Genomic DNA, 25,436 nt, shown 5'->3' with positions numbered 1-25,436 from the left:
TCCTTGGCATAGATATACCACAATTTGTTGATCCTTTCACCAGTGGATAGATATCTGGGTTGTTTCAAATTTGGGGCAATTATGAAGAATACATGCATACAAGTTTTTAGGTAGACATATATTTTCATCGTTCATAGGTAAATATCTAAAAATGGGATTGCTGGGTCATATTGTGGATTTATGTTTACCTTTATAAGAAACTGAAGGGCAGAATATTTGAGAAGAGTAATTGTATTTCTTTCTCCAACACATTTTGGTTGTGCACCTACTATGTCCAAGGCAAACCAAGGGTGTTTCCCCAAACAGCTGGGGATGTTCCTGCTCCCCAACCTCTGCTTGTGCTATCTCACCAGCAGAAAAGCAGACCTCCCATACATTTCCTTGTCCTTGGGCCAAGAATTATGGCAGACCAGGCACTGCGGTGGATCCAAGAGGGGTGGAACAAATGTTCCTGCTCTGCCAACAACAATCTGAAGGATGGAAAGTCCCTCTGGGACTCAGGACCAACAGAGCTGCAGGTAGATGCCAGGAGATACAGGACAGAGAAGAGTTTAATGGTCTAGGTGGCATCATCCAGATAAGGCAGACTCTGGTCCAGCTCTGGGCCCACCCTACTGTTACCCGGTATTCTAGAATATCATCTGCATGTGGTGATGTTCCCTTCCTCTGATTTCTCTACTACTTCCCGACACTCTGGTTTGGCAGCTGGTTGTCTACGCTTTGGGCACCCCTTATATTCTTGCCCTCTACCATGGCTTAGCTTTCAGCACTGTGTGCTTCCCAGCCAGCAGGAGCTCCCTGAGGACCGAGGCCTGCCGTTCTCAGCACACCCAGATGCATTTGGCTCTCTACAAAATACTGTCCAAGAATGCTCTTTAGGAGGCTTTAATGATTTATAATCAAAACCAACTGCTTGCATGGAAACAGGAGTTCCAAATACTTGCTCTAATCATTAACTTTATGTGTCAACTTGGCTGGCCCATTGAACCCAGATATTTGATCCAACCTGTCTCAATTTCACTGTGGAGATATTTTTTACATGAGATTAATATTGAAATCAGTAGATTTTGAGTAAAGCTGATTACCTCCTATAATGTGGGTGGACCTCATCCCATCAGTTGAAGGCCTTAAAGGAAAAGGATTGACCTTCCCCAAGGAAAAGGGAATTCTGCCAGCAGATGGCCTTGGGGCTCTGCTACAACAACTCTTCCCTACTCTCCAGCCTGCCCTGCATTATTTCAGACTTGCTAGCCCCCACAATCACATGAGCCAATCCCTTAAAATAAATCCCTCTCTCTGCATATATATATACATATAAATACATACACATATAGATCATCCATCCATCTATCCATCCTATTGGCTCTGTTTCTGTGCAGAACCCTAACGCACTCGCCCACACCATGCTTCCCACTGTGACATGAGGAGCAGGTGGGCAAGGGTAAACCTGAGATCGGCTATGGCCCAAAGGGTCAGAGACATGGTCTCACGGGGCCAAATGGTCACCACCTTGTTACCATCCTAAATGCGGCTCACCCCAAGACCTAGGGGGCAGAGACCACCAGGCCCCTGCTCTCCGGGGGCAGGTGCTGTGGAGGGGGACTTGCGCAATACCTGCTGAGGTCCTTGGCCGGATCTGGGCAGGAGGGAGTGGAAGCTTCTACTCTGTCACCAGCTGGGGCAGATGGCGAAACTATGTGTTCTGCAGCCGAGGGAGGAAGACCCGCATGGGCAGCAGCTGGGGAGATGCTGGGGACACAATGAGGGAATTATTCCACATGGTGCTGGGCTCATTAATGGCACATTCATCAGGCCCCATTCACCCCACCCAACCCACCCGCCCACACATGGAATGGACTCTTTAAACCCCAGCACTTGGCTCCCCGGCTTCCCCATCCAGGCCTCCACTTCTGCACAGCAGGGCCTGTGGCTGCAACGAAGTGGCTCCCAGGCCAGGCCCTTAAGCTCCTCCCTCCTTAAGCTTCTGTAGAACCGGGTTTCTTTAACAGAGGCAGCTCAGGTGTCCAGGACACGCTATGTGAGTTTTCTCGTTTGATTTTTGTTTAGAGGAGAGGATTTTTTTTATGATGATTTCTATTCGTTTGTGATAGGCAATGAAACTCTACAAGGTGAGAACTAAAATACAACTTTACAAATTCCCCAGGCTTTGCCCGCAAATCCCAAGGCTGAGAAAAATCCAGGGGAAAAGGATGATGGGAAATTCGGGAACCTGCCCCGGGACCAGTTGGGCCACCCGTGTCCTGGGGGAGGAATGAGTTTCAGAGACGGAGTGTGGCCCTCGAGTAGGGAACGAGTGCCCCCTGCTGGACAGCCAGGGAACCACAGCGTGCGGGGCCTCCGGGGGTAGCACTGGAGACCACTCCCCACAAAAGCCAAAAGGCACAGGCTTGCAGTGCAGAAGAGGTTCTGATTTTCCCCACTGGCAAAAAGCAAGGCTAGCAACGGCCTCCACAGACTAAAGCCTGGGAACAGCTTTCAGGGTGGTACCCTCCCAGCCTCTCCAGCCATCCCTGCTCTGGTCCACAGTGGGACTGGCCAGGCTGAAGGTGTCTTGGGGTAGCCAGGCTGGAATACAAGACTCAGCACAGACGGCCTGAAACCCAGCCTGAGGTGGTAGCTGGGGTTTGTGGCGTCACAGCCCTTGCAGTGAGGGATCACTGCTTCCCTCTGCGGGTAAACACCTCCAGGGAGCTCCCAGATTGCAGGAGTCCAGGGTGCGTGGGCCTCTGGGCTGCTATGTCTGCTCACTCCATCTCTTCGAGGTCCACCTGACAGGCTAGCACCCTGGTCTGAAGGGCAGCTGCCATAGGCACCCACACTGTACACTGGACAGAGGACTCAGTCTTGCCCATAAGTCTGGTCACAGCTTAGCAGATTCTGCAGGTCCAGCAGGCACTTCCCAGCCCCTCACCGTCCTGGCCTCAGAGCTCCACGAGGACAGGGGCCACATCTGCCACATCCACCGCAGGATCGCAACCCTGGGCCAGGCCGCCCACAGCAGGCAGAGGGGATACCGCCAAGTGTCCAACTGGCTGCAACCAAGTGTGGGAGCAGAGCCAGGGCTGGAACCCATGCTGCCTGCTCCCTCGGGGCTCCACAGAGGAAAACAGAGCCCAAGAAATAACGACCTAGGAAAGCCCAGAGCAGACCAATCCACGGGGGAACAAAAATTACAAGTGCTTGGAGGAAACCCAGCAAAACAGCAAAGTGGATTCACAGATGGAGTGACTGGCCTCCTTTGTCAAACTATTATTTGCAACAATTTGGGCAGTGGCTAAAATTAATCATTTTGTAAAAGAATGACTCAAAATGAATAATGCAAACTACCAGAGGCATTTAAGCTCCTTAAGAGAGCTATTTTGCACTTTGGAGGCTGACATGTACTCATAATCGGCAAATGGACCACTTACAAACGCAAACTACTAGTCTAACTTCGCTTTCTCAAGAAATTACACTGCTGTGCTCCCCCCTCCACCACACACATCCCACCAAGATTTTACTTAGTTTAATGCAAATTGTGGAAAGGTGGTATTGTTTGTGGTTCTGTGATTTAAGGGTACTGTTTATCAAACTGCAAGGAAGGATCTCTGTCTTAGAAAACAGTGGCGGGTGGGGGGGAGATGCTACCTTAGATCTGTGGCCCGCTGCTAATCACAACAAAGCCAGCTCTGTGACAGCTGACAGCCCTGGGATCTGATGCAGATGCCCAAGGCTACACCTGCCCCATCTCTGAGAACACCCTGGGGCAGCACAACCAAGGCTCACTCACCAAGCTCCCCCGCCTGCCCTTAACACCCACAGCTGCTCCTGTTCCTGAGGGGCCACCTGGCTGCTCCCTCCTCCCTTCCTTCTGTTGGTCCCAACTGCCATGGCCACACCCTTCCTGCGCTGGCTGGGTCCCGTTAGCCAAAGGCATCAAACAAGTGTGACTCAACAGCTCATTTAAGAAAGGCGCCCCCCTCCTTCCACCGCCTGTTGGCTCATACCCAGGGGCCGAGGAGGTCAGGCTCCCACGAGGAAACACTCAGTGACTCACCATCCAAGCCCAAGCGCTAACACATGGGCCCCCACAGACACCTCCTGGGCCCAACAGAACTTCTCCTCTTCCCTCCTGACCCTCCTCCTCCTCCCCCAATTTTCCCAGCAAGGTAGTGGCACCATCAGCCCGCCAGGCCCTGGCACTGACTTCCAGTTCTCTCATTCCCATGCCCCTCATCACCCCTTCCTGCTGAGTCACCTCCTTCTCCTTCTGGAATCTGCCCTCTCTGAGCAGGACTCCTGGGCTATCCTGCTGTGCCTGCTTTCCGTTTTGTCCCCTCAGATCCAAGGCCCCACAGCCACCAGAATGACCCAACTCAAGTTCTGATCAGGTCCTTCCACTGAGTAAAGCCCTCCCTGACTTTCCACGGCATTCGGAAGCTGGTCCTCCAGGAGCCTAGTCAAGGTCCCTTGAACTCCCCCTGAGCTGCCAGAGGGCAATGTTGCTCAAGCAAAGCGAGTAAGCAGGTAGGGGCAGCCGGCAGCCAGCTCCTCACCAACAACCCCAGTCAGCTCCCATCTGCGTTCAAGCCTCCCGTGACCAGCAGTGACTCCTCTTAAAGACATTGTTCTCAGGAAGTCGGGCCCTGAACAAATGCCCAGGACCAATCCCAGGCCTTTGCAGAACCTTCCAGACAGCTGCCAAACCCAGCCCAGAGAGAGCAGGGCACTGATATGGGGTCCGCACATTCTGTAGTCTCATTCCACCTGCTAGAGTTATCTTGCTGTCTTCCTCTGGCGGAAAGCTAGCCTGGGGCTAAACATCTGGGATGCCTTTTTCCATTTAAGGAGTTAATCAGTGTTTTCCAAACCTTATTGGAATAACGAAGAAGCTGAATTCAAATTCATGTAGAGTGTTTATATTTTTGGAAGAGGAAGGATATGTTGATTTAAGTTCAACCTGCTATTTCTTTTTGTTTAGGACAGAGCTGACAGCATATAAACCACCACGCTTTCAGCAGACAGCCATGACTTATTGATCAAGGCGTTCTTTCCTGCTAAGCCCAGCTAGACAAGACCTCAGAATCCATCGCAACACAGATCCCTAGAGAACCATTACCAATGGATCAGAGACGATGGATCTGAAGAGTTTGCTGTCCCTGAGTTAGCACCTTGCTAAGGTCCTCACAAACAACAACTGGTCCCACTGCCCATTCGGCTGCAGTCTCCAGCCACACACACAGCTCCAGGGCTCACATTCAGCCCGACAGCCCTGCAGATCCGGCCGCAGTGAGACACCGTCAGCAGCTGTTGTCCTTTGATTCCCTGGTCAGGGCTTTTGAGTCCCGCTAGGCAGATCCCTCACTGAACTGATAGCAAATTTCATTTCAGAGATTGGCTGGAGCTGCCAAATTAAGCCCTTGTGCAAGGACAAACACCAGAGTGGCCCAGGCTGTCACGGGAGGGTGATAACAGCCCCCAAGGTGCAGGCCAAACACATCAGTCCTGTTGGCCAGATGGGTGACAGCATCTTATCTCCCATTTCACATCACCATCTGGAAGGCATTTAGCACTAACAGCCCTTCCTCCCAGGCCTCTTGATTTTTTTCTTCCGAAATTCCCAAGTGCACATGATCACATAATAGGGCAAGCGTTAAGGCCGAAGACTCAGGTCATGCTGAAGGTGAGATGCAAAGTGCAGAAAGGAAAGTGCTGTGAAATTGTGGGTTTGGAGAGCCAGGCTTGGTTGATACAAATGCTGGACAGCCAGTCCCACGGAGGCCTGGGACTTGATAAAATGAGACTCAGCAATGGGAGATAGAACAGGCGTCTCTCAGAGGCAGCCACTGAAAAGCCCCAAAGCCAAAATCAGAAGGTGCTGAGAGGTGCTTGTGAATTGGCTGGAAGCTCCGAGGCAGGCACATCCAGATATTTCTGGTCGTTGGTGAGATCCACCAGCATTCGAGCACCAGCCAGTTCACGTGAGAGCGTGAGCAGCCCCAAACAAGCTGATCTGCAGATTTCCAGCGGGCGCTGGGCTCCTGCGCAGTTAACCCTGAACTGGCTGGTCAGCTCTTCCCTGGCACACGTCTATCCACTTTACCTTCACAGAGAGAGCCCGTGCTCAGAGGAGGGATGTTATTTTCAAATTTGGCACAAGCAAAACTTAAGCAGGAAGGAAAATATTCACCAAGGGAAAAGTGATAAACACCATCCCAAAACCATAGGCGAGGCTTTGGTCTGGCTTGGATCGTCCAAGTTATGAATCCCCACGCCTGGTCATCACCAGCAGCTCTGCGGGCCCAGGGGCAAGATTTCCTTATGTCCTGAGCTCTCTGGGGATGAGTCCTGGTTTACAGAGGCTACAGGGGTGGAGACACAAGGGATAAAAGGAGACTGATCTTGGATATCCAAGATTATTTATTCAGAAAGTCAAAATCTGCCTATACAGATAAAGCAGCTCAAGAAGCATGAAAAACCAAAACAAGAACAGAATCTTGTGTGAGTGTGAACCGTATGAAATTCTCAATATCTGACACTTGCCAATGTGGCAGTTCATGTGGTTCAACCCCAACAGCAGCCAGACAGACAATGGAAACTCAAAGGCTCTGAAGAAATGTAAAGGTGCACCCCAATTCACTCAGCACGCTGGGTGCTGGCTTCACAAATCTGATTCATGAATGTCAAAGTACCTTCTAAAGGTACAAAGGAATTCTGTTATTCAGAGAAGACTTTTGGGAGATCCATTTTCTAAATTAAAAATAATTCCTCCACTTTATCATTCAGTCTTTGTTTGTTTGTTTATTTTTTGAGACTGAGTTTCACTCTTATCGTCCAGGCTAGAGTACAATGGCACGATCTCGGCTCACTGCAATTTCCGCCTCCCAGGTTCAAGCAATTCTCCTGCCTCAGCCTCCCAAGTAGCTGGGATTACAGATGCCTGCCACCACGCCCAGCTAATTTTTTTACATATTTAGTAGAGACAAGATTTTGCCATGTTGGCCAGGCTGGTCTCAAACTCCTGACCTCAGGTGATCCCTGCCTTGGCCTCTCCAAGCTCTGGGATTACAGGCATAAGCCACCGCACCCAACCTATCATTCAGTTTTTAATAAGGCACCTGCTTAAATAAAGGTTCAACTAACCTTTGTGAGGTGGTTGAACTCACTTATGCATACCCATAGAGGGAAGACAAAAAAATCTTATTGTGCAGTCAGAAAAAAAAAAAATAAACTACATGATTTGGAAGCAAGAGAAGAAATAAAAGCTGTAGTCAGTATGAATTCCCGGGCCTTTCAACTTCTGACCATTTTAAACTCTGCTTCTGAATCTGGAAACTCGCTGGTGAGGCTATGACACTCAGCAGGGGCTATCCCACCTCCTTCTGTCCAAAGTCAGAGATCAGAAACTTCAGCCGCCAGCTGCTGGGCCTGGTGTCTCCCTTCCTGAGGAGCTGTGATGAGCTGCTCAAACCTGTTCACAGGTGAGGAGAAAAGCAAGCGCCTGGACAACACTGCCTTCACCTGGTGGTTCTCCAAGGACTGGAAATGCAGGTGTGGGCCCCTCCCAACACCCCCCTCAATCAGACTCTGGGAAGAGGGCAGCATATCTGGGTTGTCAGCAGGTGATTCTGATGCACACTGAAGTCTGACCCACAGACACAAGTCCAGTAAGTAATTTTTCAGCCGTGTGGGTGGGAGTCCTGAAGTTCTCAGGGGACCTCTCTGCATGGATTCTTGACTGTGGGAAAAGCACAAGAGGCTCTTGGATGTGTCCCATTTCACTGCTTAATACATAGTGGTACAGCAGCTGGAAGGTTTCATTGAAAAAACCATTCTGCTTTTTTTTTAGATGGGCCTCAGTGTGTCAACCAGGCTCTCAGCCTGGTCTCAGCTCACTGCAACCTCCATCTCCTGGGCTCAAGCAATCCTCCCACCCCAGCCTCCTGAGTAGCTGGGACTACAGGCACGCACCACCACAACCGGCTGATTTTTGTAGAGGCAGGGTTACCCAGGCTCATTCTGCTTTTTTTTTTTTTAATGAAAATACTGAACAGATGAGAGTACAAGTGGCCATAGGCAATGTGGTCATTTGTTCAAAGTTCCAGAAGATCTGGGCCCAGCTTTCTCTGTCATCCAGGGTTAGCTCAACCCCCGAAGCAGCTTCACAGCTCTTCCCTGAGGAAAGAAGCAAATTTTGGTGCCCTCCAGTGGCATTAACAATAGAGAAAGGGTGCATCGAAATCCCTTTCATTTTATTTGAGAAATACCTTAGAGATAGAGGTGCCTTCTTTTTCCGCTACTCAGAAAAAAAAAGAGCTCTTGAAACTAGAGGGCAGGGCACCAAAGAATTAGCAGGCAACAGGGAAGGAGGAGTGAGGCTTGCTCTCTGTTTTTCTCTCAGCTGGCTTAAAGCAAATGCTCCAGCCCTACTTTTTTTTAAATTTTTTTTATTAATTAAAAAAAATTCTGCTGGGTTCAGTGGCTCACGCCTGTAATCCCAGCACTTTGGGAGGCCAAGGCAGGCAGATCACCTGAGGTCAGGAGTTTGAGACTAGTCTGGCCATCATGGCAAAACACCATCTATACTAAAAATACAAAAATTAGCCAGACATGGTGGTGCACGCCTGTAATCCCAGCTAGTCAGGAGGCTGAGGCAGAACAATTGCTTGAGCCCCAGGGGGCCGAGTTTGCAGTGAGCCCAGACTGTGCCACTGCACTCCAGCCTGGGCGACAGAGCAAGACTACATCTAATATATATATATATATATATATATACACACACACACAAACATACATACACACATATATATATATATTCATTTCAATTTAATTTTTAAATTTAAACTACTGAAAAGGCACACCTCTCCCGAGGACTGTTCCAGCCTGCCCCCTGCCCCATGTTGGTCCCTCCCCTCCTTCCGCATCCCACCCTCTGCCTCTCTCCTTATGGGAAGCAGAAAGTGCAGAGGGATTGCAGGTGGATGGGGTGGCGGGGACACTGCTGCGCTTAAATCGCCACTGCACACTAGGACGCCCGCTTAGTTTCTCCAGCAGATGGGCAAGGTGAAGTGCTGTTGATTCTTGCTATTCACAGGAATGTTCTACCAAGTCGCCATGAACCCTGAATTAGGAGACACTGAATTATTGCCTCTAGAGGAAACATAGGGGTAGCTTCCTGTGAGTTTCTAGGCACAGCATTTTCATCAGCCAATCAACCAAAACATAACCTTGTTCCATGTGTGCTTCTGTTTAAAGATGCCTTATTTAATAGGTAATTTTGCTTCATTGAATTCACAGCCACCAGCACTACCCCTCATGCCGGGAGGAAGCTTCTCTAAAGCACAACTTTTCGCCCCGAGGCCTGTTGTTGCACTTAGGAGGGGACTTCAGCATCATGCTTAGGGCTCATTTGAAACAATGTGCTCACCAAGGAAAAGCACAACAGTTGAACTAACTATGCCACGTAAGGACACTTGTTTGCAGTGCCAGAGCCACGACAAGAAGGCAGGGCGTTGCCTCGTTCAATCTTAGCTGAGAACGTGTGTGCTGGGCAGCTCTGCACATGTCTGCAAATGACTGAGAAAGGACCACAAGTATCAACTCTGGGGTAATCAATACATTTTAGTGAGAAGGCAAATTCACAAATATGGAATCTGCCAACGAGGATCGACTGTATTTTACAGAGGCATCTGGTGACCAAAGTCAGACCAATCCTTGGTATTAACAGAACTATCTCTTTTCCACCAATCCAGTAAAAACAACAAGACAACACGACTCTGGATAAATGTTCAGTAACACCAACAAGGCACCAAAATTGCTCATTCCTTAGTCAAATACTCCCCCAGGTTTTAATCATGCCTGCATTCTGCCCAGAGTTCTGAGTCTTTCCATAAGGAGATAAGGCCATGAAACTGGCCGAGTTCTCAGCACTGACACCTCTGCTTAGCCACTGGTCCCCTCCTGCATTCTGTGGTCACTCTTGGTCAGGGTTGTAGGTAACACAGCTGCATTACCTAATGCATTACCTTCCTTGGACTAGAGAGAGACCATGGATACAGGCGGGGCCCCAGGACACGGTATCTCGAGGAAGCCTGGCTCTCCCGCAGCTCTGCCAGTGGAGGTTTCAGAACACAGGTGGGCAGCCGGGCCAGAGCTGCTGCAGTCCCAGCTCTGCCACTTACTAGCTATGTGTACTGGAGCATGTTAACGTCTCTGAGCCCCAGTCTGCTCAACTGTGAGATGGCAGCCATGACAGCAGTTCCCACCTTCTACAGCTGGCATGAGGATTTACGGAGACACTCGATGAAACACACCCAGCATGGTGCCTGGAGCATGGGAAGTGTCCAGGGAAAAGGAGACTTAAGAGCATGTGCCACTCACCTACTATGGAGCCTGGGACAAGTCACTTAAAACATGCAGTCTCAGGCATGGGAGGGGCCTTCAGAAGCACCCATTACACCCTCCGCTGGACTGCAGCTCTCTGAGAGCCATCCCGCCAAGTCCAGCGCCATCCTCTCCTCAGAGCTTCCTCGTGCCCCCGCATCCCCCGACTGTAAGATGGGAGCATCGGGTGAGAGTGATCTCGGCTCCCTTCCAGGCTTTGCTAAGGGAGGGCGTGCCCCATTGGCTACAGCCAGAGGCCCCTGGGTCTTCCTAAAACGGTGGTGGTCAGGGAGCCAAATGGGACAAAGAGGGGGAGGAATAGGACAGACAGGAAGGGGGTGCCCCACGTCTCACTGGAAACTTCTGTACACTTCTTGAGGGTTGGGGGCCTTCGTTCGCAGCTAGGGTTTTTCCTTTAAGAAGTTAAAGTCACACAAAAGTAAAAACTATGGCTGACTCGGCCAGGCGAGGTGGCTCACGCCTGTAATCCCAGCACTTTGGGAGGCCGAGGCAGGCAGATTACCTGGGGGTCAGGAGTTTGAGAACAGCCTGGCCAACATGGCAAAATCCCATCTCTACTAAAAAAAAATACAAGAAAATTAGGTGGGCATGGTGGCGCACGCCTGTAATTCCAGCTTCTCGGGAGGCTGAGGCAGGAGAATCGCTTGAACCCAGGAAGCGGAGGTTGCAGTGAGCAGAGATTGTGCCACTGTACTCCAGCCTTGGTGACAGAGTGAGACTCCGTCTCAGGAAAAAAAAAAAAAAAGAACTATGGCTGACTCCCACCTATAAAAGGAACGTCTAAATTTCCACATCATTGCATGGCTGCCCTGGAATATCTGCTTCCAGCCTGCAGCTTCCTGCCCTATCTATCCCGTCCTCTGCTTTCTCCCCCACCAGGTACCTCCTCCTAGTTTTGAAGAGGTGTCTTGGTGCTGTCGGCCGCCTGCCTGCACCCCAAGGAAGAGGGTCAGCACGGGCCAGCCCCCAGGTCCCTGTCCCCCCCTCATCTGGTTCAAGTCGCCACCATTCCTCCAGGGCCTGCCCAATGCCATCTTGGGTACTGCGGTTCCAGAGATTACAGGTGACCAGTTCCTCCCTCAAGGAGTTCCCAGTCTAGTGAAGGAGACGGAATTAGATACGGGTCATTTACAAGGATCTGTGGAGGGCAGTGACATAGGGGCACAACGGGTGACTGCAGGAATTCAGATGCAGGCTTCTCTCAGCGTGGGGAGAAGGCTTCTGGGAGGAAGGGTCACTGGGCCATGAGTTCCAGGAGGGAAGGGACAGCATCTGCCTATTCACCATGGCTTCCCCAGCACTGTGCAATATTGGGCAAAAAGCAGATGCTTCACTGATATAAACAGAAATTAAAATGTGTGCACGCGTGTATTCATAGACACACACACAGACATGTGTGTGTATAGACATGTAGACATACACGTGTACATGTGTGTATGGAGAGACATGTGGAGGCATACATGTCCATGTGTGCCTATATATGCATATATGGGCATCTGAGCTGACTCTGAGCTGATTCTGGGAAAGCCCGGGTTAAATGCCAAGTTTGCAGGCAGAAGGAGCAGTGAAGCCTGAATCCAGGCCAAGCACAGTGTAGACGGAGAACCGTGATCAGTGTGGGGTTGCTGGGGTGTGAAGAGCAAAACGAAGGGAGGCTGGTGGGAGGTGACATGGCAGAAGGGCAGGGGCGGGGACCCCAGGCCCCTGGCTCCCCTGCCATGTGCTGCTGACCCTCCTCTTCTCTGACCACCATCAAAAAATGAAAGAAAATGAGCAGTGAATCCAGCTCTGTCCCAGGAGATCAGAAGGCAGCTAACTCAACCGTTCCCTGAAAAAGGAGAAGTAGCACGTTCTCTCTACTGGAGGGTTTCTGTTTCAAATAGGGACCCCTGAAGGCCACATAGGAAAAAAGTCTGTAAAATGCCCCTTGTATGTCTTGGGGGCCGGGACAGGGGAAACGGTCTTCCTGGTATCTCAGATCATTCCTAAGGTCACAAGAAGAGGCCCCAACTCTGGCACACACCTGTTCAGGACAGGTGTGCACACCCTGTGTGTGTGTGCAGAGGGGGTGAAACTGCAGGAGAAAAGAGAGGAGGGGAGGGGAAGGGAGGGGAGCGGGGGAAGGCAGCCTCAAGGATTGGGCCCTGAGGTCTCATCACCAGCTCCAGGGCCCCCACCGTACCTCTGGGCTATCAGATCCGTAGAGACCTGGCCAACAACATCACCGTGGTAGGAAGAGGCAGCTAAGGTTGGGCTTTCCAGGTCTGCGGGGGCAGCGGGCTGGATGATATCATCTGCCACAGGTGAACTGGGGAGAGAAAAGGGAAAGAACCTAAACTCAGAAACATTCCTACAAGTTTTTGTTTTGAGACGGAGTTTCGCTTTTCTTATCCAGGCTGGAGGGCAATGGCGCGATCTCCGCTCACTGCAAACTCTGTCTCCAGGGTACAGGCAATTCTCCTCCCTTGGCCTCCTGAGTAGCTGCGATTACAGGCGCCCCGCCACCACAGCCAGCTAATTTTTTTGTATTTTTAGTAGAGATCGGGTTTCACCATGTTGGCCAGGCAGGTCGCAAACTCCTGACTTCAGGTGATCTGCATGCCTCGGCCTCCCAAAGTGTGGGGATTACAGGCGTGAGCCGCCGTGCCTGGCCTCCTACAAGTTTTCAATGTGTTTTAACAGCACATTTCTATCTGGATCCTGAGCAGGGCCTCAGTTTCCCTTTCTGTGAGGGATGAGTTTGGTGCTGCTCAAAGCAGGGTCTGTCACCAGTCTATGCCAAGAGTAGTACAGAAACCTCAAGTAAGTGTTTAGAAACCTTTGTAGATCTTTCTCTTTCTTTCTTTCTTTTTCTTTCTTTCTTTCTTTCTTTCTTTCTTTCTTTTTCTTTCTTTTTTGAGACTGTCTCGCTCTGTCACCCAGGCTGAAGTGCAATGACGTGATCTCGGCTCATTGCAACCGCCGCCTCACGGGTTCAAGCAATACTCGTACCTCAGCCACCCGAGTGGCTGGAATTATAGGCACCCACCACCACGCCTGGCTAATTTTTGCATTTCTAGTAGAGTTGGGGTTTCATCATGTTGGCCAGGCTGGTCTCAAACTCCTAGGTTCAAGTGGTCTGCCCGCCTTGGCCTCCCAAAGTGCCGGGATTACAGGCATGAGCCACCACGCCTGGCCCCTCTGTAGCAATTTGATAGACTACGTTCATGTCTGTTAAATCTAATAATAAAAGGACAGGTTCAACATCCTACCACACACAGGACAGTCCCCAAGACAAAGGACTATGTGGTCCAGAACATCAATAGTGCCAAGGTTGAGAAACCCCAGCCTTGAGTTTTATTTCATTTTTCTAGTAATTCATTTAATTATATTTTTTAAAGTTTAGATCTATGATGAGTTAGAAATTTAAAAACAACCCTGGTCCTTTATGGACTGAAAGAGTCTGCAACCTCCAAGCACAGGGTGGCTCAGGAAGCTAGAAGAGGCTCAGTCCTTGGACACCCATCGTCTTGTAGTCAGTTACCCTATTATTTCATCGGGGAGGTCCCTGAGTGACTTTCTGATGAACTCCGCTCTGTAGCCATAAGTAGCAGGACCATTCTTTCCACTCCTTGATCAGATCCTTATTGAAAACCAATTCTCTGCTGTGAACAAGAGAGCAGCGGTCCCTGCCTTCATGGGACGTCTCATGGGACAGCTTCAGGCAAGAGTCAGATTTTTTTTTTTTTTTTTTTTTTTTGAGAAAGCGTCTCCCTCTGCTGCCCAGACTGAAATGCAGTGGCTCCATGACGGCTCACTGTAACCTCAACTTCCCAGGCTCAAGCAATCCTCCCACTTCAGCCTCCCCAAATGCTGGGATTATAGGCGTGGGCCACCTTGCCCAGCCCAGACATTTTTTTTAAATGTTTATTTATTTAGTAACAACTGTAGTAACTGCTAAGAAGGAAGGTGCAGATGGTCATGAGAACACAAACTGAGAACTCTTGGCCCACAATGGGGGTTGTGGAAAACTCTGTGGTGTGGTGAGCATGCTGAGGCCAGCTCAGTAACAAGTGTTTCCTAATGGTTACTACGTATACGTGCCAGGAACTGTTCTAAGTGCGTATAGATGGCACTGTATTTGATCCTCACAACGACCTTTATGAGGGGGATACGATTATTAAACACACTTTACAGATGTAAAAACTAAGGCACAGAGAGGCTGAGCAGCTTGTCGAAGGTTGAACAGCAGCTAAGTGGCAGAACCAGGATACAAACCCAAGCCTGACCCCAGGAGTCATGCTCTTAATCTCCACACTTGGCTTTGTCCCACAGGTGGAAGAGGAAGGAAGAGGGGCTGGGCACGGTGGCTTATGCCTGTAATCCCAACACTTTGGGGAGGCTGAGGCTGGAGGATCAGTTGAAGCCAGGAGTTGAAGACCAGCCTGGGAAGCATAGGGTGACCCTGTCTCTAGAAAAAATGTTAAAGCTTAAAAAAGGAAGAGTATACCCTGACCCTCAGCCCTACCCCCCATTCAGGGAGCCACGTATTTAAAAACCCTGAATCAGGAAGGAGCTTGGTATTCTAGAGGACCTGCAAAATGTCACTGCAACTAGAGTACAGATGAAGAAGGGGGAGTCTGGCTGGGCACAGTGGCTCACACCTGTAATCTCAGCACTTTGGGAGGCCGAGGTGGGCAGATCACTTGAGGTCAGGAGTTCAAGACCAGCCTGGCCAACATGGTGAAAACCTGTCTCTACTAAAAATACAAAAATTAGCTGTGCATGGTAGTGTGTGCCTGTAATCCCAGCCACACGAGGCTGAGGCACAAGAATCACTTGAACCTGGGAGGCAGAGATTGCAGTGAGCTGAGATTGCGCCACTGCACTCCAGCCTGGGTGACAGAGGGAGACTCCGTATTGATCCTAGGCAGAAGAATCAGCCTGAAGCTTCAACCCAATGTTCAGCCATAAAGTGCCTTTGGCATTGACAGTGCGGAGGTCCAGGGTGAATTTCCCAAAACTATCCTCTCAATACGATTGGACTAGCACATGTGTGCACCCACACTACTGCTTATTCTCCATTCTCCATGTTCCCACCCACCATTCCAGTTCCCCCAGAACAAGATCCTGAAGCCCTGTGACCACATCCAAGGAGTCAGAGAAAGAGATCACTGCAAAGAGAAATGGAAGAAGCAGTGAGCCCAGAAGAGGGAGGATGGCAGGAGCTCCGGCTGGGTGTCTTGGTGAATCACAATGTCTAGAATCCTAAACTACAGGCAAACTACAGGGGCACTTTCCAAAATCATAAAATCTGAGTGGAAAAACAGAGCTCCAAAGTTCTGGCAACACACATTGAAAACCATAAAAGACTTCGTTTCCTTTGACACAGCCATGGTTCTTCCAAGAATTCATTTTAAGGAGATAATTAAGGGCATGGGCAAATATGCTGATCACAACTGGAATCACGATAGCAAAAAATCTGGAAACAACCAAAATGCCCAACAGTAGAGGACAGTTCATCAAATTAAGGCGCAACCACAGGATGGACTCGTTTGCGGCTGTTCAAAAAATAAGGTAGGCCGGGCGCAGTAGCTCATGCCTGTAATCCCAGCACCTTGGGAGGCCGAGGCAGGTGGATCACCTGAGGTCAAGAGTTCGAGACGAGCCTGGCCAACATGGTGAAACCCCGTCTCTACTAAAAATGCAAAAAATTAGCCAGGTGTGGTAGTGGGCACCTGAGGCAGGAGAATCGCTTGAACCCAGGAGTTGGAGATTGCAGTGAGCAGAGATCGTGCCATTGCACTCCAGCCTGGGTGACAAGAGCAAAACTCCATCTCAAATAATAATAATAATAATAATAATAATAATAATAATTAAAATAAGATAGATCTTCATGTATCTAGATGCAAACATGTCCATTATTAATTGAACATAGGTTGAAAAAACTTAGCAGCATGATCCACATTTTATGTGTATCAATGATATACATGGGTATGTGTGTCTATACAGTCTATGTATAGACATACACACACGAGCACGTGACAGAGAGAGAGAGAGACAGCGCAAGCATAATAGCCTGAACAATGAAGCAATTTGGACAAGTATTGCCAAGGTGTTAACGGTAATTCTCTTTCGGTGGTGAAATCATTTGTGTTTTTTCTTAATGAAATTTATATCTACTTTCTAGTTCTATGCTGAACACATACTACTTTTGTAAGTAAAATAAATTAGAAACCATATGTAAGAAGTTATTTTAAGTGCCAGGGAACAACTTCCATGTATAACTCAGTGAAAGCTTTCAGAGATGGAGACAATCAGAAAGCCACTGTCTTTTCCCCACTTCTGTACTCATATTTTCCACTGGGAGGACCTAGGCTTGTCAGCCTCATTCCAGGGCGGGAACGCGGCCAGGCTTCGTCCATTAGGCACCACTGGAAAATGAGGTCCCAGCAAAGAAGATCTGGAATAAAAGATATCTGCCCACATATTCTACGTGATGGCATTTTCACCTAAACTCTTTGGAATGGAATTATTTTTCAAATCATAAACACTTCCCTGACTTTTTTGAGACAGAGGATCTTGAACATAATTAAATACTTGCTCAATGACACTCAGCCGTCCTCGGCAACTATGACATAAGTGAGTGACATTAGTGCTGTGGCACCAAATGTAACCACCGTATGTGAAGTTGAGGGGACTGGATTCCAGTCCAGGCCCACCATGGGATCTAAGCCAGGGGACTTCTCTGAGCTTTAGCCTTTCTGTCTGTAAAAGTGAAAGCGCCAGACTACTTGATCACCGAGAACTCTGACTCAGCCTTGTCCCTCGCTCTCAGGCCGTCAGCTGTCACTTCTACTTACCCACTCACCTGCCTCCCCCTGCCACCTTCTGCCTTGCAGTTCTCTGCTTCTAACAGGCTACAGGCTAAGAAACATGGCTGAGAGTGTCAGAACGTGCATAAATCAGGAGTCAACAGGCTCTGAATAAAGATCTACAAACCTTCCGTACCAAATCATTATCTTATAATTTAAAAATAAACACATATGTGTATAGACGCATATATATTAGGCTCAACCATATGAAACTGCTACAAAGAAATAAACTGTCAAATTGACTTTGTGCTGTCAGCTCCGGGCCCTTTCTGACTTTGTAACGATCTGAATATTTTCCAGGTGGCTAAGGATGGGAGAGAGCTAATTTCTGGGGAAATGGGGGGATTTTTCTAAAACAGCTCTTCTCAGAACAACTGTAAGAGGCTATAAATGGCTTCTAAGTTCTGCTGGTGGTGGTTCTGGGACTAGAGTGACTGAAATATTTTTCAGAGGAAAAAAAAAATCTGTCAGATTTCAACCACCAGCTGCTGCCACCAGCTGCTGGGGCCAGCCCACTATAAATTTAGTCAGGCCAGCAAAGGGTTGATTTGCCACTGGAATGTCAGGGAGGGAAGCCTGTACTATCAACAAGTGCTTCTGCAAAGGGCCATGAGTCACCCCTTTCAGAGACTGGTGGAATGGACTCTGTCCAAAAAGGAAGACGTTCAGGTTCCAGCCTTAAAAGCCCACATCTTCAGTTCTGTACATAGGATCCATGCCACAGGAAGAGCCCCAAGGCGGGCACTGGGATGGATTCCATGGGGATCACACACTCCAGGGGTGACAGGCTCATCAAGCCCGAGGAGCTGAAAGTCCAAAGAAAGGAGAACTGTGAAGGGTGGTGTCTTCATTGGCTCAGGCTGCTACAACAGAATCTCATAGATGGGGTGGCTTATGAACAACAGAGATGTATTGCTCACAGTTCTGGAGGCTGGGAAGTCCAAGATCAAGGCACCAGCAGGTTCAGTGTCTCATGAGGACCCCTTCCTAGTTCACAGACAGCTCCTTCTCACTGCATCTTCACGTGGCAGAAGAGGCAAGGCAGTGCTGTGGGGCCTCTTTTTATAAGGGCACTAATCCCATTCACAAAGGCTCCACCCTTATGGCCTAATCACCTCCCGAAGGCCCCACCTCCTCATACCATCACCTTAGGGGTTAGGATTTCAACACAGGAATTTCGGGGCTGAGAGGGATACAAACATTCAGAGCATAGCAGGTGATACCAGAAGAACAAACTGCCACAGAAACCCAGGATTCTACAGGCTGGGATGATCCAGGCAGGTCCTGAGAGGAGAATAGCTGAATCAAGCAAAGTGCTTCAATAGGCCGATGTGTGCAAAGGGCTTTCCAGATGAAAAAAAAAAAGCTTCTCCCTCCCTCTCTCCAGGATGGTTCTGTCAGAAAGGCTTCTGTTCCCTTCCCCTTGTTATTTATTACAAAGAATAGTATCCAGTATCAAGGATAATAGGAGCCAGGTTCTCACAATCAGAGAGGAGCTTGCATATACAGAAGGTGGTTGGACTCCAGAGATCCCTCAGGGCAGGGCTGCAATCAGAGGAATCAGACAAATCCAGAACTAGTTGTGGAGGGCTGTGTGCACACATGCATGTGTACATACACGTACCTACTTCCCAGCTGGGGGAGTCGCGTCAAAGGACATAAGAACCACCTAAAAGGGGCTGCCACTGTCAAATCTGGGACTATTTGAACATCAAACACACACACACACACACACACACACACACAGTTCTGGATTATAACCCATGGAATAAAAGTAATAATCTATGAATCCATTTAGACCTAAATAAAGTCATGAACAAATGGGGAAGAAGGGAAAGCCCCCCCTTACAGTACAATGCCAGCTAGTTAGTCCATGTAGGACAGAAAACTGCCATGGAAGAAACCTTAATGGTGGCACTCAATTCAAGGAAGAGCCATCAAAGGATGCCAAGGCAGGCGGTGGGGAGTGTGAAGAAGGAAAGGCTAGGCCAGGCATGGTGGCTCACGCCTGTAATCCCAGTACTTTGGGAGGCTGAGGTGGGTGGATCACGAGGTCAGGAGATCGAGATCATCCTGGCCAACATGGTGAAACCCCATCTCTACTAAAAATACAAAAAAATTAGTTGGGTGCGGTGGCGCGCACCTGTAGTCCCAGCTACTCGGGAGGCTGAGGCAGGAGAATCGCTTGAACCTGGGAGGCAGAAGTTGCAGTGAACTGAGATTGCACCACTGCACTCCAGCCTGGACAACAGAGCCAGACTCCCTCTCAAAAAAAAAAAAAAAAAAGGAAGGATATTGTGTAGCCTTTGAGTATCTTCCCACCAAATGCTGACTGATTACAAAGGTGAAAATGATGACTTTACAGCCAATAAACCTGGCAGGCACCAATCTGGCCATCCTCTGTGGCAAAACATTCCATGCTCTGTGCCCTGGGGTGGCAGAGCTTCACTTCTGTGGAATCCCTGCCCAAAGCAGACACCCAGGGTCTAGCCATGAAGAAACTAGGTGACACAGATTGAGGGACTTCTTCCAGCGTGAAGGAGCTGTACTCATAAAGGTCATGGGACGGGCATGGTGGCTCATGCCTGTAATCCTGGCATTTGGGAGGCTGAAGCAGGAGGATCCCTTGGGTCCAGGAGTTCGAGACCAGCCTGAGCAACATAGCAAAACCCAATCTCTACTAAAAAAAAATACAAGAAATTATCTGGGCATGGTGGCACACACCTGAAGTCTCAGCTACTTGGGAGGCTGAGGTGGGAGGATCACCTGAGCCCAGGAGTTCAAGGCTGCAGTGAGCTGTGACTGAGCCACTGCACTCCAGCCTGAGCAACAAAAGTGAGACCCTGTCTCAAAAAAACTCAAAAAGTCATAAAAGACAGGGAGAGACTGAGGAATTACTCCAGATGGAAGGAGAGTCTGGGGGCATGACATAGAGCATGGCACATGCTTTTTGACTGGATTCTGGTTCAGACGGAAAAAGGTACACTGCTGGTGAATTTGAGCAGGTTCTGAAGACTGGATGGCGATTTCCCAGCTGCAGGGCTGCGCTGGCTTCGTGCTGGAGAGTGTTTGCAAGAAAGGCACACTGGGGGGCTGGGAGGGGGCGGGGGTTGTTTTTGTTTTGCTGGAGGGTGGCGACTTCATGTCTGAAACTTGCTCTCAAATGATTCAGAAAAAGTAGCAATGATGGATATATAGGTACATATACATTTATATTACTCATATAGAGAGAGGATGAACGTCACAGCACATGTGATAAAATGTCAATGACTGCGGAATCGGGGAAAGGGAACATGGAAGTTTTTTGTAGTATTCTTACAACTTTTCTGTAAATCAGGAATTGTACTCAGGACAAACAAATAAGAACTTCTTGGGCAAAGGCGTGCAGGCAAACAGCCACTCCCCAGCACACATGGAGCTCCGTTTGGGTCTGGAGGACACAGCGTGATATGCCAGCCACTTCGGCAGCATCAGGCAGCTGGGGGGACACCTAGCTGGACACTTGGGGCTGGGGCCAGTGTGACAGGGGCCCCGGAACCTCAGACGCTCAGACCATGAGCCTGTTGTCCTGGGGCGATGGGGAACATGAGAGATTTAAACGCAGGCCAGTGACAGAATATTCAGAAGATAATGCCTGTGCCACAGTGGAGACTAATTGGAGGGGGCAAGAAATGCAGGCAGTGGAGCCGAAGTGAGAGCTTTGGAACAGTTCAGGTGCCAGGTGATGCAGGACACACTGGGACCACTGCAGAGGAGGTGGAGTTAGTTGTTCCAGAGGCTTCATGACATCTACCTGACACTAGGTGCAGAGGGAAGGGACATGAAGAACAAAGATGATTTGGGTTTTGAACATCTAATGGTTGGAAGGCTATGTTATTAACTGCATGCCTTGCACATAAAACCTTAGACCTCCGGTATTATTACTGATTTATGTTTAATAAAGATTAAAGAGGCCAGGTGCAGTGGCTCATGACTATAATCGCAGCACTTTGGGAGGCCGTGGCGGGCAGATCACGAGGCCAGGAGTTCGAGACCAGCCTGGCCAACATGGTGAAACCCCATCTCTACTAAAAATACAAAAATTAGCCAGGCATGGTGGCGCGTGCCTGTAATCCCAGCTACTCTGGAGGCTGAGGCAAGAGAATTGCTTAACCCTGGGAGGCGGAGGTTGCAGTGAGCCGAGATTGTGCCACTGCACTCCAGCCTGGGCAAGAAGAGTGAAACTCCGCCTCAAAAAAAAAAAAAAAAAAAAATGACTCTACAGCAACCCAACTCAAGAACAGACTCCCTGGAAACTGTGCACCCCACTTCAGAACACCGGCATAGTTCTCACCAACAGAGTGAAAGCTGAGCCCCAGGGGCTCACATCAGTTTTGAAAAGAGAAGCAAAGGCTGTCATAAGTCAGCAAAATGGAATCTTCCAAGATCTGCATTTTCATGGCCAGTTCTAGGCTGGGCATGACCGAACTGACCAGTTAGAAGCCACAGCACAGGCACCACGACATGCGGAACACACAGGGCATCCTTTTCAGAGCCACCCTTGGCATTCCTCTGGGTGAGGGGCCCACAGACCCCAGCTGCGCTTTGAAAGGTGGGTTCCCCAGGTCCCTCGGGGTAAGCACATTGTGCTTTTTAGTGATGATGAAAAACAACTCATCTCTTCTGGATCTGGAAAATGGGTGGACAAGTGTGGCCTGTGGCATCCCTGCAGGCCAGGCATGGAGTGGGGCCAGGTGAGTAACAAGATTTCTAAGACCAGGCCAGGCGCGGTGGCTCACAGCTGTAATCCCAGCACTTTGGGAGGCCGAGGTGGGTGAATCACTTCAGCCCAGGAGTTCGAGACCAGCCTGGCCAATATCACAAAACCCTGTCTGTACTAAAAATACAAAAAAATTAGCCGGGTGTGTTGGCGTGCACCTGTGGTCCCAGCTACTCTGGAAGCTGAGGCATGAGAATCACTTGAACCTGGGAAGTAGGGGTTGCAGTGAGCTGAGATTGTGCCACTGCACTCCAGCCTGGGTGAGTGAAACTCTCTCAAAAAAATGATCTCCAAAACCAGAGAGGCCAACCTCTCTCAGCAGCAGAGGAGAAACTATGGCCCTGAGATTTGAGGGACTTCATCTATGTTGCAAGCATGCTGATTTTATTTTTGGTGATAAAATTTGAATATATATGAAATATTATAGCACATTTAAATAATTACAATAAAAGAATTAATGATAACAGCAGTCATAAGGGCAGCTCACATTGTAAGCACTTCTTTCTGTTTGCCAGGTGTTGTGCGAAGGGCTCTGCACACACTCACTCATGCAGCCCCTCCCCTTAAGAGGGCGAAGAACAGAGTCAGGACTGGGACCCGCGTCCAAGAGCACAGGAGCCAGGAAATCCCACAGCATGCTCTGGGCCTGACTCAAGCTAAGGAACAAGAAGCTGTCTCCCACAGGACCCCGGGGAAAGCAGCTTATCAAACGGACCCTGGAGCCCACGCAGGGAGAACAGAGATTTTCCACTCTCGGATGAGAAAGCCTAGCAATTTAAAGATTTAGCCTTCAGCTATTAAAAAAAAAAAAAGGAATTATTTTTAAAAAAATACTTAGTTACTTATATGTGTATGGTATCTTAGAGCTTTGTTAAATGCCACTTTTATGATTCCTCATCACTGCTATGAAGAAGGCAGACAAGTTATTTATTTATTTATTTATTTTTTGAGACGGAGTTTCATTCTTGTCGCCCCGGCTGGAGTACAGTGGCACGATCTCGGCTCAGTGCAAGCTCCGCCTCCCGGGTTCACGCCATTCTCCTGCCTCAGCCTCCTGAGTAGCTGGGACTATAGGTGCCCACCACCACACCCGGCTAATTTTTTGTATTTTTAGTAGAGACGGAGTTTCACCGTGTTAGCCAGGATGGTCTCGATCTCCTGACCTCGTGATCCACCCGCCTCGGCCTCCCAGAGTGCTGGGATTACAGGCGTGAGCCACCGCGCCTGGCTAACAAGTTATTTTATAGAAGAGGAGAGGAGATCGAGACTCAAGGAATTAAGCGACTTGGCAAAGAGACCCATGGCGAGAACCCTGGACCTGTCCTCGCCTGGAAACCCATGCTGCCATCCCCCTCCCCGCCAGGTCTTTCCTCTAGTGGGCATGCCATAGCTCCTGTCCAGAGTTCAGCGGCACAGCCCCAGGGGAGGCATGGGAGGCAGCAGAGGCCTCTGGCAGGGCAGGAAGAGATGGCAGAGCCAGCAGGGGAATCGTGACCACCAACAACAGGGCAGGGACCTCTACCTTCCCTGCTGAATTCTTAGCCCACAGCCAGCAATGCATTTACTGGAATGAATGAACCAAGGAAGAGGCCCAGGCCCAGAAGCCAATGAGGCTGATACAATGTGATGCTTTGCAGCCACGTCAAAGTGCACATTTGCCCGTTTCAATTATAAGCAGCGCTTGTCACATTTTGAAGCCAAATTTTTTAAAGTCCCAGACATTTTTTAGATACTCCTGTGATGCCTGGGAGCCTTCACAGATGAAGAAATAAAATGCCATTCCTCCTCCCCCTGGAGAGGTAGGATAGGGCAGGTGATAGGAGGCCAGAGCCCGGGGCCAGACTGCCCAAGCCTGACCCCACTCCAGCAATAAAGAGCTGTACAACCTTGAAAAAGATCCTCTCGGAGCCTCAGTATCCTCATCTGTCAAAGATGGCAATGACAGTCCTTCCTGGAGAGGGAGTGGAGAGGATGCCTTGTGACCAGTCATGCGAATGTTTCTGTAGCAAGGTGCCCAGCACACGCAAAGTGCTCCACAAATGCTGGCGTCATTAAGACAAACACTACAGGATGTACTGTTTCCCAAACACAAAATACAGAATGTACTGTTTCAAAGTACACATGACCCTCCCTCCCGCCTCTCCTGCACATCCAGGTGTGAGTCTCAGGTGCACAGGCTGCTCCTTCAGGCACCCCAGGCTCTATGTGAATATCAACTGGGGTGTGGATTAAGAATGAATACAGGGCCAGGTGTGGTGGTTCACGCCTGTAATCCCAGCACTTTGGGAGCCCAAGGAGGGCAAATCACCTGAGGTCAGGATTTTGGCCTGGCCAACAAGGCGAAACCCCCTCTGTACCAAAAAATGCAAAAATTAGCTGGGCATGGTGGCACGCATCTATAATCCAGCTACTCGGGAGGCTGAGGCAGGAGAATCACTTGAACCCGGGAAGCGGAGGTTGCAGTGAGCTGAGCTGAGATCGCGCCACTGCACTCCAGCCTGGACGACAGAGCAGGACTCCGTCTCAAAAAAAAAAAGAAAGAAAGAAAGAATGAATACAGGTGGCAACAAGTGAAGGGAATCAATGTTTATGAGCACCTAGCATGCGCCAGGCTCTATGCAGGCCCTTCATCACTGTGAGCAATGTGACAGCAGAAAGTCCCTCTCCCCAAGGCCGCACGAGGCTGAGCTCCATCCCAGCTGCTCTGACTCTCTCAGCGAAGGACCCTACAGCCTCAGAGCAGCGTCGACTCATGATGTGCGACAAAGAGGGAGTGGCGTGCTGAGAGCCAAGTGGGTGCTGCCTCCCTAGGAAGAGGGTGTGCGCAACCAGCCAGGGCACCCGCGGTGGCTCTAACCACCAGGGGGTGGGGGCATAAGACCCTTCCCCTCCCAGGGCTGCGGGTGCCTCTTCCACCTAATGAGGGTTTCGACTATTCTCTCTAGGGTACCCTCCAGCCCAAACAATTTTCTGATCTGAAACCCAGGGTCTCCTGGCTGAGAAAGGTCAGCTTGGAGGAGGCTGTGAGCAGTGCCCACGTTGGCCCAACCCCTAGGCCAGGCGGGGGAGCAGGGCAGCTTCTGGTTGGGAGTTAAGGACGGGAGGCAGGGGGTGACCTGCTGACTCACAGCTCCAGCTCCCCAGGAGACCTTACTGTGAGGACGGGCGAGTTGCAGGACGGAGGGGGAACCTTCTCCTCATACACAATTTAATCACCTCTTAAAATTGGACTACTGTTGTTTCCGCATCCTTTGGGATTAATGAGCCCAAGGACCGAATTTTACGGCAAGCTCAAAGGAGAGGAAATTACTCCGGGAGGACAAGGCAGGGAGCCGGCAGCCAATGTTCTTCCTTTTTTTCTTTTTCTTTTTTTTTTTTTTCTTTTGAGAAGGAGTCTCACTCTGTTGCCCAGGCCAGAG

At 49.6% G+C, this 25,436-nt stretch overlaps 1 protein-coding gene across 50 annotated transcripts in view, besides 3 other annotated features; it reads right to left on the bottom strand.

The window, feature by feature from the left end:
- Nucleotides 1–25,436, bottom strand: part of TACC2 (transforming acidic coiled-coil containing protein 2) — a 265,380-nt gene that overhangs the window by 109,222 nt on the left and 130,722 nt on the right. For 23 of the 50 annotated variants that reach the window (NM_206862.4, NM_001438366.1, XM_024447756.1 and 20 more), the window contains 2 exons: nucleotides 12,587–12,712; nucleotides 1,615–1,749 (listed from right to left, as the gene is read on the bottom strand). The exons of 8 other annotated variants lie outside the window; for them this stretch is intronic. In NM_206862.4, coding sequence (NP_996744.4) covers nucleotides 1,615–1,749; nucleotides 12,587–12,712 — 261 coding nt within the window. The remainder of the gene's footprint in view (nucleotides 1–1,614; nucleotides 1,750–12,586; nucleotides 12,713–25,436) is intronic. 19 more of the 50 variants (NM_001291877.2, NM_001291876.2, NM_206861.3 and 16 more) reach the window with 2 other exon arrangements.
- Nucleotides 3,853–4,147: an enhancer, noted in NCBI's record as "tiled region #11287; K562 Activating non-DNase unmatched - State 22:ReprW". NCBI's record gives its function as "activates a minimal TATA promoter and a strong SV40 promoter by Sharpr-MPRA in K562 cells {active_cell/tissue: K562}" and the evidence as "EXISTENCE:reporter gene assay evidence [ECO:0000049][PMID:27701403]".
- Nucleotides 3,853–4,167: a biological region, named in NCBI's record as "Sharpr-MPRA regulatory regions 1076 and 11287".
- Nucleotides 3,873–4,167: an enhancer, noted in NCBI's record as "tiled region #1076; K562 Activating non-DNase unmatched - State 22:ReprW". NCBI's record gives its function as "weakly activates a minimal TATA promoter and a strong SV40 promoter by Sharpr-MPRA in K562 cells {active_cell/tissue: K562}" and the evidence as "EXISTENCE:reporter gene assay evidence [ECO:0000049][PMID:27701403]".

This window comes from Homo sapiens, chromosome 10, assembly GCF_000001405.40.
Source record: "Homo sapiens chromosome 10, GRCh38.p14 Primary Assembly".
NCBI lineage: Eukaryota > Metazoa > Chordata > Mammalia > Primates > Hominidae > Homo > Homo sapiens.
The sequence above is the reverse complement of the archived record's forward strand: the minus strand, read 5'-3'. Positions and strand labels throughout refer to the sequence as shown.